We start from the raw sequence: 12,991 nt of genomic DNA, 5'->3' as shown, positions 1-12,991 counted from the left end.
GACTCACCTTTCCATTAATGTTTTTCTTATTTTAGTTGCTCAGCATATAGAAAATTATGTTTCAATGCAGGGAAAAATGGTAGCAGGTTTCTGTTTTTTTGTTTTTAACAGCTCATTTTGCAGTCTCAGGAAACTCTTCAGTTAGAGTTGGCAAGGGAATCTTTGTTCTAATCTCTACTGCAAAATCAGTTCACCCAGCAAGACATGTTGGAACATTGACAGTCCCTAATGTGTTAAAATTTGGCATATAACTTATTTAGGGTATTAGAAAATATTTGAAATATATTGCAATCAAATATTTGCATAAATCCTAAGTGACAGAGTCATAAGTCAGAACAGTTTGATTCAAGAACTCTTTCTACAGTATTATCATTTGTTTTCTTATTTTTTAAAAATATAAATGTAATTTATATATGTGGTCATATTATTAGTTTATGGCTTATTTCCCTATGTTTTTTGACTTAAAATATTTAGGTTTAATATTTTAAACAAATTTGTGCCTATTTTATGACTAATTATTTCTTTCTTTCCCCCCAGGGAAATGAGGCAAGTTATCCTTTGGAAATGTGCTCACACTGTAAGTCATATTCTTGTTACCAAAAGTTACTTTTATTCACTCATCTCTCTCTGTGTGTGTGTGTGTGTGTGTGTGTGTGTATCATACCTCTGTAATGTATATTTACTTACCTTTGTAGCAATGTGAGCCCTTAACTATTTAAAGTGGGTAGTGAATTTGACATACAGTCTATTTATGTTACCAGAGTAGGAACATTTTTTTAAATAGACTTCTTTATTACTCATATCTACACTGTACTATAGTTATAATTAAACCCTGAAATCTCAGTGTCTTAACCTAACAGAAGTTTTTCAAGTGAAGTTTCAAAGTGGATTTGTAGGAACTCTTTTCTCTTTGGTGACTCAGTGATCCAGGCTCCCTTGTCTTGGAATGCCACCATCTCTAATGCTTATTCCCAAGATCACTGAGGAAGAGGGAAATCCAAGGACCTGTCGGCAGTGCTTTTATCTGCCTTGGCCCAGAGGTGATTTATATCACTGGTGCTCATATTTCATATTTATGGGCCAGAGCTAGTTATGCAGCCACTGTTGGGGCTTGAAAGTACAGCTTTCCGTATTTTCTGGAAGAAGAGATGGACAAGGCACACAGCATTCATTAAGTCCTTTTTTTTTTTTAATTTTTAATTTTTTTATTTTTTGAACAAATAGAATCACTAAGTTTTTTGTTTTTCACATTTTAGGGAGGGGTAGGGGTGATTCTCTGACTGAACAGCAAACTTTCAGAATAAAATTCTGTTGTCTAAAGCCTTTTTCTAATGTTTAAAATGTCTTATTTTTAAGTTTGAAAAAGGTCTTTAATGTATATCTTTGATAGAAGCTTAATGTTTGAAAGATTGGATGTTAATTTAGAATTAATTTGCATGTATTAATATCCCAGTAAGCTTTTTTTCCTTTTTTGTTTTTAAGACTTAGCTTAGACCAGTGGTCTGGTCACTTACCATATCCAATTTGATGGTACCCGTTAATGGGACGTTGTATAAAGGGCATGTTCATTTTGCCATCCCTTTAAAAAATACAGGATCGTCCCTCTATGGTTTTCCATTACAATATAAATTTTAGTTTTATTTGGTTACTGTTAGCTCTTAGGGTTAAGAATTAAGTCTAAAAAACAACTAATTGATATATAAAACAACATTCTTATAGTGTGTTTTATTTATAATTTAGTATTTACTAATACAAGACAAGGACTTAGTAGTTCTTAAGTCCTTGTTTACACTGTTCATATACATGGTAGTTTTATTTATTTAGCCCTATCTACTCTACTCTTTCCCCACCCACTTTCCCCTCCATCTTCAAATCCTAATTTCTTTATATCCTCTGAGCAACTTCATTCCCTTAATTTGGTTGTCTTCTATACTCTCCCATTGTAGTATGTTTGTTGGTGTGGAAACCAGAGTTTCATGTTATATTACCAAAGGTATTCAATACTATTCAAACTTTCTGCTATGTAGAAACTGTAAAACTCACAGGTACATATCTCAGATCCCTTTGCAGTCAGAGTTCTTAATGTTACTTTATTTCTGCCACAGATATACTTGTGAGATTTGGAAGGTAGAAGTGAGTCAGAGTTTGTTCTTTTCCTATTTTTACTGTTTTTGCTGGTAGGATTCTGGTTGTGATTTGGATTTGTTGGTGTGTGCAATGCTCTGGAGCCCGAAGCTTTCAAATTTACTATGCGGCTTCCTTATGGACAGGGAATACAGGTTGAGTATCCCTTATCCAAAAATCTTGAGACCAGAAATGTTTTGGGTTTTGAATTTTGGGGGGGGTTTTGGAATATAGGTGTACCTCATGTTTTTTTTTAAACTTTTATTTTAGGTTCATGGGTATGTGCAGGTTTGTTATATGGATAAACTGTGTGTCACGGGGCTTTGGTACACAGATCATTTTGCCATCCAGGTAATAAGCATAGTAGCTGATAGGTCGTTTATTGATCCTCTCCCTCCTCCCACCCTCCACTGTCAAGTAGGCCTTGATGTCTGTTGTTCCCATTTTTGTGTCCATGTGTTCTTGTTGTTTAGATCCCACTTACAAGTGAGAACATGCAGTATTTGGTTTTCTGTTCATGCGTTTGCTTAGGATAATGGTTTCCGGCTGCATCCGTGTTGCTGCAGAAGACACGATCTCGTGTTTTTATGGCTGCGTAGTATACCATGGTGTATATGTACCTCATTTTCTTTATCCAGTCTACTGTTCATGGGTATTTAGGTTTATTCCATATCTTTGCTATTGTGAATAATAATATTGTGAATAATGTAAATATATGTGTCCATGTGTCTTTATGTTAGAATGATTTATATTCATTAGGATATATACCCAGTAATGGATTGCTGGGTCAAATGGTAATTGTTTTAAGTTCTTTGAGGAATAGCTACACTGCTTCCCACAACGGCTGAACTAATTTACATTCTTACCAGCAGTGTATAAGCGTTCCCTTTTCTCTGCATCTTCACCAGCATCTGTTATTTTTAGATGTTTTAGTAATAGCCATTCTGACTGGTGTGAGACAGTATCTAATTGTGGTTTTGATTTGCATTTCTCTAATGATTAGTGATGTTGAGAATTTTTTTCATATGATTGTTGGCCGCATGTATGCCTTCTTTTGAAAAGTGTCTGTTCGTGTCCTTTACCCACTTTTTAATGGGGTTGTTTTTTTTGCTTTTAGGTTTAAGTTCCTTAGAGATTCTGGATGTTAGACCTTTGATAGATGCGTAGTTAGCAGATGTTTTCTCCCATTCTGTAGGTTGTCTGTTTTACTCTGTTGATAGTTTCTTTGGCAGAAGCTCTTTAGTTTAATTAGGTCTGATTTGTCAGTTTTTGTCTTTGTTGCAATTGCTTTTGGCGTCTTTGTCATGAAATCTTTCCAGATCCTTTATCTAGACTGGTATTTTCTAGCTTATCTTACAGGGTTTTTATAGTTTAGGTTTTACAATTAAGTCTTTAATCTACCTTGAGTTGATTTGTATATGGTATAAGGAAGGGGGTCCAATTTCAGTCTTCTGCATATAGTTAGTTATCCCAGCACCACTTATTGAATTACGGAGTCCTTTCTGCACTGCTTGTTTTTGTCAAATTTGTTGTAGGTGTGCAACATTATTTCTGGGCTCTCTATTCTGTTCCATTGGTCTGTATATCTGTTTTTGTACCAGTACCATGCTGTTTTAGTTGTAGTATAGCTTCAAGTCAGGTCTTGTGATGTCTCCAGCTTTATTCTTTTTGCTTAGGATTGCCTTGGCTATTTTGGTTCCATACGGATTTTAAAATAGTTTTTTCTAATTCTGTGAAGAATGTCATTGGTAGTTAAATAGAAATAGCATTGAATTTGTAAATTGTTTTGGGTAGTATGCAGGTGTATCTCATTTTATTATGCTTTGATTTATTGTACTTTTGCAGATAATTGTGTTTCTTACAAATTGAAGGTTTGTGGTAACCCTATGCCAAGCAAGTCTGTCTCTGCCATTTTCCCAGCAGCATGTTTTCCTGTCTGTGTCACATTTTGGTAATTCTTGCAGTATTTCATACCTTTTCATTATTATATCTGTATGGTGGTCTGTGGTTAGTGATCTTTGATGTTACTATTGTAATCATTTTGGGGCAGCATGAACGGTGTCCATGTAAGATGGTGAACTTAGTCCAGTTGTCTGTGTTCTGACTGCTGTACTGACTGGCCATTCCCACAACTCTCTCCTTTTCCTCAGACCTCCCTATTCCCTAAGACAACAGTATTGAAATTAGGCTAGTTAATAACCCTACACTGCTCTCTAATTGTTCAAGTGAGAAAGAATTACACATCTTTAATTTTAAATCAGAAGTTAGAAATGATGAAGCTTATTGAGGAAGGTGTGTCAAAAGCCCAGATAGGCCAAAAGCTAGGCCTCCTGTGCCACACAATTAGCCAAGACATGAATGCAAAGGAAAAGTTCTTAAAGGAAATTAATAGTGCTAACTCCAGTGAACAAACGAATGATAAGAAAATGAAACAGTCTTATTGCTTATATGGGTAAATTTTTATGGTCTGGATAGCAGGTCAAACCAGCCACAAAATTCCCTTAAGCCAAAGCCTAGTGCAGAGCAATTCTCTGAAGGCTGAGAGAGATGGGGAAGCTGCAGAAGAAAAGTTTGAAGCTAGTGGAGGTTGGTTCTTCAAGTATAAGGAGATAAGCCATCTCCATAACTTGCAAGTTGAAGCAGCAAGTGCTGATGCAGAAGCTGCAACAAGTTATCCAGAAGATGAAGGTGGCACTGACTCTCCTCTTGGGGACCAGTGCAGCTGGTGACTTTAAGTTACAGTCAGTGCTCATTTATCACTCTGTAAATCATAGGACCTTAAGAATTATGCTAAATTTCCTCTCCTGTGCTCTCTAAATGGAACAACAAAGCCTAAATGGCAGCACAGCTGTTTACAGCATGGTTTACTGAATATTTTAAGCCTACTGTTGACACTTACCTCTCAGAAAAAAAGATTTCTTTCAAAATATTGTTGCTCATTGACAATGCAGGTAGTCACTCAAGAGGTTTGATGGAAATGTACATAGAGAGTAACGTTTTCATGCCTGCTAACACGACATCCATTCTGTAGCCCATGGAGTAAAGAGTAATTTCGACTTTCCAGTCTTATTACTTAAGAAAGACATTTTGTAAGGCTGTAGCTGCCTTTGATAGTCATTCCTCTGATGGACCTGGGCAAAGTACATTAAAGACGTTCTGGAAAGGGCCAGGCACAGTGGCTCACACCTGGAATCCTAGCACTTTCGGAGGCCAAGGTAGGTGGATCACCTGAGGTCAGGCATTTGAGACCAGCCTGGCCAACATAGTGAAACCCCATCTCTACCAAAAATATGAAAATTAGCCAGGCATGCTGGCACATGCCTGTAATCCCAGCTACTCAGGTGGCTGAGGCACAAGAATGGCTTGAACTCCTGAGGTGGAGGTTGCAGTGAGCAGAGATCACACTACTGCGCTCCAGCCTGGGCGACAGAGCGAGACCTTGTCTCCAAAAAAAAACAAACAAACCGGGAAAGGATTCACTATTATAGATTTGCCATTAATTACATTCGTGATTCATGGGAAGTCAAAATATCAGTATAAACAAGAGTTTGAAAGAAGTTGATTCCAGTCTTCATGAGTGATTTTGAGGGGTTCAGGGCTTTCATGGTGGAAATAACTGCAGATGTGATAGAAGGAGCAAAAGAACTAGAATTAGAAGTGGAGCCTGAAAATGTGGCTGATTTGCTGCAATCTCATGATAGAACTTGAACAGATAAGGAGTTGCTTTTTATGGGTGAGTAAAGAAAGTGGTTTCTTGATATGGAGTCCACTAGTGAAGATGCTGTGAACATTACTGAAATGACAACAAAGAATTTAGAATATTCCATAAACTTGGCTGATAAAGCAGCAGCAGGGTTTGAAAAGATTGACTCCAGTTTTGAAAGAAGCTCTACTGTGGGCAAAATGCTGTCAAACAGCATTGCATGTTACAGAAAAATCTTTTATGAAAGGAATTGTCAAATGATGTGGCAAAACTTTATTGCTGTCTTATTTTAAGAAATTGTCACAGCCACCCCGATCAGTCCGTGGCCATCAACATTGAAGTGAGACCTACCAACAGCAGAACAATTACAACTCACTGAAAGCTCAGGTGATCCTTAGCATTTTTTAGCAATAGAGTTTTTTTTTTTTTTTTTTTGAGACAGAGTCTCGCTCAGTCGCCCAGGCTGGAGTGCAGTGGCGCAATCTTGGCTCACTGCAAGCTCCGCCTCCCAGGTTCACGCCATTCTCCTGCCTCAGCCTCCTGAGTAGCTGGGACTACAGGCGCCCGCCACCACGCCGGGCTAATTTTTTTGTATTTTTAGTAGAGACAGGGTTTCATTGTGTTAGCCAGGATGGTCTGAATCTCCTGACCTTGTGATCCGCCTGTCTCGGCCTCCCAAAGTGCTGGGATTACAGGCGTGAGCCACCGCGCCCAGCCGCAATGGAGTATTTTTAAATTAAGGTATATGTGTTGTTTTTTAGGCATAATGTTATTGCACACTTTGTAGACAACAGTAATACGTAAATATAACTTTTATATGCACTGGAAAACAAAAAAATTCATGTAGTTCGCTTTATTCACTTTATTGTGGTGGTCTGGAAGCAAACTTAAAATGTCTCTGAGGTATGCCTGTATTTGCATTATATATACTGACTGAGCATCCCAAATCTAAAAATTTGAAATCCAAAATGCTCCAAAAAACATTTCTTTTGCATGCCATGTCAACACTCAAAAAGTTTCATATTTCAGAACATTTTGGATTTTGGATTTTTGGATTTGGGATGGCCAAACTGTATGTTTTTTGATGGCCTCGTTCTGTAGTTTGGTTTTGTGAATTTTTCCTAAAAGTTCAACCCAGGCTCATTTTTTAGCCTCCTAACAATTTCTAACATTGAAAAACAACCTTTGCTTCAACTACCTAGAGTTAGATTTTTTTGTCTGTTGAACCCTCGAAAAATATAATTCCAGGAATGCTGTAGTCTGCACACTTTCAAAGTAATGGAAATCTAGATTGGTTGTCTGACTTAGTTGGATTTGAAGATAATAATGATCCCATTATCATGAACAAATTGGAACATTAACTTATTTTATGGTTGCGTAAAATAAAGTTCTTATTGAAGGCAGAACTTTGGTAGACCAAATTGCTATTGTCAAATATTTGCTGAGGAGAATGAGGAGTATAAGGAGTGTGGATGGGCTGGTTACTTTTGGCTGTATTGGAGAACTTAAAGAAAATTACATGCTTAGAAGTTCTTGAATGAAGGACCAGTTAAGATGACCCAGGGAGCTTATGTTAATTGAGAGAAATAATAAGATCTTTTGTGTGAAAGGACAATGGTTGGGAAAGAGGAGATTGTAAGAATTGGAATAGAGGCCAATAGATTAAGATATGAGGTTCTGGAACTGCCACAACCATTCTGAACCTTCCTTGCAAGCAGACATAGCCTCTTCAGCCCCTGTTTCATGAGGCTGGGCTTGCCTTGCTTGAGGAGACATCTTACCTTGAGATGAGGTGTCACTTCTGTTTTGTATTGTTAAGACCACTTTCCCCATTGCTCATTATGTTTCAGCAATCTCCTTTTTTTTCCCCCAAAACACTTGTCAATTTCTTTCATTCCTATTACCACCTTTGCTTGTTTATGAGTTTGGGTAGAGTGGTCTTTGGTCAGCTCTTTATTTGACTGACTTCATTCTCCTTCAACTCTCAGGTATTAATAAGTACCTTGAGCTGTTTTTGTTGGGGCTTTTTTGTTGTTGTTGTGTCTTACAAACTTGGATAGAGGGAGTTTAAAACTCGACAGAGGGAGGCAAAGTTGGCCTCTGTTGCCCAGGCTGGAGTGCAGTAGCATTACCATGGTTCGGTGCAGCCTGGCTCACTGGGGCTCAAGCGATTCTCCTACCTCAGCCTCTGGAGTAGCTGGGACCACAGGCATGTACCACCACTCCTGGCTAAGTTTTTTAAACATTTTTTTGTAGAGTCCGGGTTTTATTATGTTACCAGGCTTGTCTCAAACTTCTGGGCTCAAACAATCCATGCACCTCAGCCTCTGAAAGTATTGGGATTACAGGCATGAGCTACTGTACCTGGCCTTTATTTTTTTTTAATAGCAGTTGACCTAAACCCAAATTACTTATTTATTAATTTATCTGCTATTTTGTAACTTCCACAGTTTTTTTTTTTTTTTTTTTTTTTTTTTTTTTTTGAGACAGAGTCTCGCTCTGTCGCCCAGGCTGGAGTGCAGTGGCGGGATCTCGGCTCACTGCAAGCTCCGCCTCCCGGGTTCACGCCATTCTCCTGCCTCAGCCTCCCAAGTAGCTGGGACTACAGGCGCCCGCCACTACGCCCGGCTAATTTTTTTGTATTTTTAGTAGAGACGGGGTTTCACCGTTTTAGCCGGGATGTTCTCGATCTCCTGACCTCGTGATCCGCCCGCCTCGGCCTCCCAAAGTGCTGGGATTACAGGTGTGAGCCACCGCGCCCGGCCAACTTCCACAGTTTTTTAAACTTAAAAAAAAATGGTGATACCTATGACCAGTTATCCATAATCTTTCCATCCCAATCACTATTTACATTTTATTTTGCTGTTTCCTCCCAGACTTTTTTTAATGATTTTTTTTAAATTAAAAAAAAAAATTTTTTTTTTAGAGTCTTGCTTTGTCACCCAGGCTGGAGAGCAGTGGTATGATCTCGGCTCACTGCAGCCTCCACCTCCCAGGTTCAAGCAATTCTTGTGTCTCAGTCTCCCAAGAAGCTGGGATTACAGGTGAGCGCCACCACACCTGGCTAATTTTGTATTTTTAGTAGAAACATGTTGATCAGGCTGGTCTCGAACTCCTGGCCTCAAACAGTCCACCTTCCTTGGCCTCCCAGAGTGCTGGGATTACAGGCATGAGCCACTGTACCCAACCTTTTTATGAATTTTTAATATAATTAGGATCATATGAGGGCATGTATGTTTCTATTTTAAAACATGAAATAAAATGTTACATCTAGAATAGTGTTAGAATTGACCAAAACTAGACCTAATTACTAGCCTCTAGACCAGGAATATTGGTAAACTGCTGCTTGCCAGCAGTTTTTATTAATAAAACATAGCCATTGGAACATAGCCATGCCCATTTTTCTGTTTTCTGTGCTGCAGTGGCAGAGTTGAGTAATTGCAACAGAGACCGTATGGTCAACAAAGCCTAAAATATTTACCACCTGGCCTTTTAGAAAAAAGCTTACTGAACCCTCTTGTAGACTATAGTGGGCTTCTGGAGTTGAGAACTATTATTTGAGTCATTACTGCACAGTTAACTTATCTACAGAATATGGTCTACACAGAAGTTACAGACTGGTGCTTTGGGTGTTATGTAGATCTATAATACTTGTCTCTGGTAAAGTCAGTGAGTCGGGCGTTTTTTGAGACAGCAGTTTTGCTCTTGTTGCCCAGGCTGGAGTGCAATGGCGTGGTCTCGGCTCACTGCAACCTCCACCTCCTGGGTTTAAGCAGTTCTCTCTCAGCCTCCCAAGTAGCTGGGATTACAGGCACCCACCACCACGCCTGGCTAATTTTTGTATTTTTAGTAGAGATGAGGTTTCACCATGTTGGCAAGGCTTGTCTCGAACTCCTGATCCCAGGCGAGCCGCCTGCCTCGGCCTCCTAAAGTGCTGGCATTGCAGGCGTGAGCCACTGCGCCCTGCAATGAGTCTGTTTTATAGTTTCTCTAGAATTGAAAGAGTTCCACTCAAAATTGAGCTTCTGTTTACCATTTAGTTTGAGCATGTGACGTGAATTATTCCTCCACTTGATAGTGGAAAGAAAGAGGTGCAGAGGTCTGTAATTAGGCTTTAGGCTGCATTAGAGTTGGGATTGATTGTGGCTAGCATAAACTCCAATGGGGATGAGGTACTAGGACATTAATTTTTTATTTCTCAGTCAAAGAACAGAAGTCTTGAGGGAACCATAGTTCACAGATTCTTTTCTGCTGCTCATTCTTTAAATCTGGGACTGAGGGCCAGAGAAAAATGTCCTAGGGCAAAAGGCAGATAGATGTTCCTTACGTACATCTGGGATGGCAAAAGTCATGGTTTTTTATTTGTGTGGTAAGCATTTGAAATAAGATTTCATACACTGTTAAAGCTGTCCTTTTCAGTTAATCCTCAGAACTTAGTAGTAAGTCTTCTTTCTTATCACTTTAATCAATACTTTGATTAAACTGTTGAGCCTTGTCACTAAAGATCTATACTTGTCATTGTTCAGCCAGCTGTGAATCTATCTAAATTATTTTGTCTGTTATGTAGTTCTTTTTTCCTGCTTGGTTCACTAGAATCTTACATGCTTTTTTTTTTTTTTTATCATATTTTCCTGACTATTTGGATCAATTTCCCAAAAATGACCTTCTCCACATTAAAACTGCCACTTTTTTTGTTCACCCACACATTGTAGTAATTTTTTTTTTTTGCTTTTTTTTTTCCCAAAACCTCTTTACTATTGGAAGAGCTTAGTTTTATCTGTGAATAGTGCTTTCATATTATAAGATTGTTGAAATCAGTCCTTGACACACTTCACTATTTATACTTCCCTATTTAGGTTAATTCCTGTCATGCCTTCTCATCCCTTCCATACCTAGCTCAAGCCAGTGTTCTCTGTTTGTCCTTATTTAATTGCCCCAGCCACAGTGTCCTCTCAGCTTTTCTTCTTTCAGTGTAGTTGTGCTACTTTTTAAAAAAGTTTAACAGGACTCTAAATTATATGCTGTAACATACTGTATTCTTTCCTGTGCCACACAGATAAGTAAGCACCTACCAAGTACTTATGGATTAGCCACTGGGAAAAAGGGAAATACATAGATTATTACAGTATGGGTAAACTATTACGAGAAATAAAAACACAGGTTCCAAGGAGGAAAAATGACCTTTGGTTAAGGAAATTAAGAAAAGCCTCCTGGAAGGGGTGACATTTGAAAGCTGTGTAGGATTAGAATGTGGATTAATTCTTTGACCTGTGTAGTTATTTCTCTCAGTCTCCTTATATGTTACCGACATCATCAGCATTCTACCCAAACTTGCCTGCATTACCTGGTTTTAATAAATGATTTTGCTCCTAATGCTTGAGAAAACTAGGGACTGAGAAAACTTGGGGATGATTTAAGTGTTGGCCTCCCCCCTCACCTCTGCCTGCCACAAGAGAAACTTGTCTGATCTCACATTTAATCTTAACCTCCTTTCCTTCAGTATCAGGCCTCCCTTTTTCATGGTTAGCCCTTCCCCTGTGCTTTTGATCTTGTGCTATCTCATCTCTAGGATCTTACTTTGTTAAGTTTCTCTTTATTTTCCCATATGTCTTCAGCTTCTTCCTCTCTTCAGTTTATAACACAGTCGACTTCTCTTTGATTTTGATCCTGCATGTACCTGGAAGTTTCTCTCTGTTCTTTCACGTATTTGAACCTTTTAAGAGCCGCCGGGCGCGGTGGCTCACGCCTGTAATCCCAGCACTTTGGGAGGCCGAGGCGGGCGGATCACCTGAGGTCCGGAGTTCAAGACCAGCCTGACCAACATGGAGAAACCCCGTCTCTACTAAAAATACAAAATTAGCCGAGTGTGGTGGCGCATCCCTAAATCCCAGCTACTCAGGTGGCTGAGGCAGGAGAATGGCTTGAACCCAGGAGGTGGAGGTTGCTGTGAGCCGAGATCGCGCCATTGCACTCCAGCCTGGGCAACAAGAGCGAAACCCCCTCTCAAAAAAAAAAGAAGAGCCTACACAATCACCTTTATTTCCTTATTTCTGCTAATTTCTTGGTCTACTGCAATCTGGCTTTCGGCTGCTATAACTCCACGGACACTGCTATCAAGGTCATCTTCATTTTATCAACACATTGTCTAATTGCCACATCTGGATTGATTTAAAAAATCTACAAAATCACTTGTGACCTTTGGGGAAATTTGAACACTGATTATTTGATACCAAATAATTAATTTTTAGGTGTGATAATGTTATGATGTGTTAAAGAGTTTTTATCTTTTAGAGATAATACTGTTTAGGCTAGGTGCAGTGGCTCACCCCTGTAATCCCAGCACTTTGGGAGGCCGAGGTGGGTGGATCACCTGAGTTCGAGACCAGCCTGACTGACATGGTGAAACCCCATCTCTACTAAAAATGTAAAAAGTTAGCAGGGCATGGTGGTGCATGCCTGTAAACCCAGCTACTTGGGAGGCTGAGGCAGGAGAATTGCTTGAACCCGGGAGGCAGAGGTGGCAGTGAGCTGAGATTGCGCCATTGCACTGCAGCCTGGGCAACGAGTGAAACGCCGTTTCAAAAAAAAAAAAAAAAAAAGATAATACTGATTACTTACAAGGAAATGATATGTCTGGGATTTGCTCTGAAATAACTGGGGTGGGATATAGATAACATTTTTCTTATGTTTAATGGTTGAAACTGGATGATGAGCATATAGAATTCATTATACTCTTTTTTCAAACTTTGTGTGTGTTTGAAATTTTCTATTATTGAAAAGTTGGGGCTTTTTAAATAAATGGAAAAGGGGAGAAGGAAGTAACCAAGAATAAAATCAATAAGAAATAATTATTTAATTACAATTCAGAATGGCATGCAGACTGTAAACTTTAATAATAAGTGGCTGTTCAAACTAATTTTCACCAGTAAAAGAATTGGGACTTTGACAGTGGAAGCATAATGCCTGGCATAAAGCAGATGCTGAGTAAATAATTGGTTGACTGAATTAGCTAGCAAGAGCTCAGAGCTGGATTACATAGACAACTCGTTGGATAATTTTAAAGGCTGTATACCTTTGGGAAAACCTGGTAGTTACTAGTCACCCCATTTGTTTTCATAAATAATAACAATCCATAATGGTATGGTGCTTACCATGTCCCAGGAA

The 12,991-nt window shown here is 38.9% G+C and overlaps 1 protein-coding gene across 1 annotated transcript in view, besides 1 other annotated feature; it reads left to right on the top strand.

The window, feature by feature from the left end:
• Positions 1–12,991, top strand: part of PPP3R1 (protein phosphatase 3 regulatory subunit B, alpha) — a 73,676-nt gene that overhangs the window by 34,864 nt on the left and 25,821 nt on the right. Inside the window, exon 2 of the mRNA NM_000945.4 lies at positions 538–577. Coding sequence (NP_000936.1) covers positions 538–577 — 40 coding nt within the window. The remainder of the gene's footprint in view (positions 1–537; positions 578–12,991) is intronic.
• Positions 11,601–12,101: an enhancer, noted in NCBI's record as "H3K4me1 hESC enhancer chr2:68432700-68433200 (GRCh37/hg19 assembly coordinates)". NCBI's record gives its function as "activates a minimal SCP1, AML or CMV promoter by ChIP-STARR-seq in primed H9 embryonic stem cells {active_cell/tissue: H9 hESC(primed)}" and the evidence as "EXISTENCE:reporter gene assay evidence [ECO:0000049][PMID:30033119]".

Source organism: Homo sapiens, chromosome 2 (genome assembly GCF_000001405.40).
Source record: "Homo sapiens chromosome 2, GRCh38.p14 Primary Assembly".
NCBI classification, from domain to species: domain Eukaryota; kingdom Metazoa; phylum Chordata; class Mammalia; order Primates; family Hominidae; genus Homo; species Homo sapiens.
Note: the sequence above shows the minus strand (reverse complement) of the source record. Positions and strands in the feature narration are given on the sequence as shown.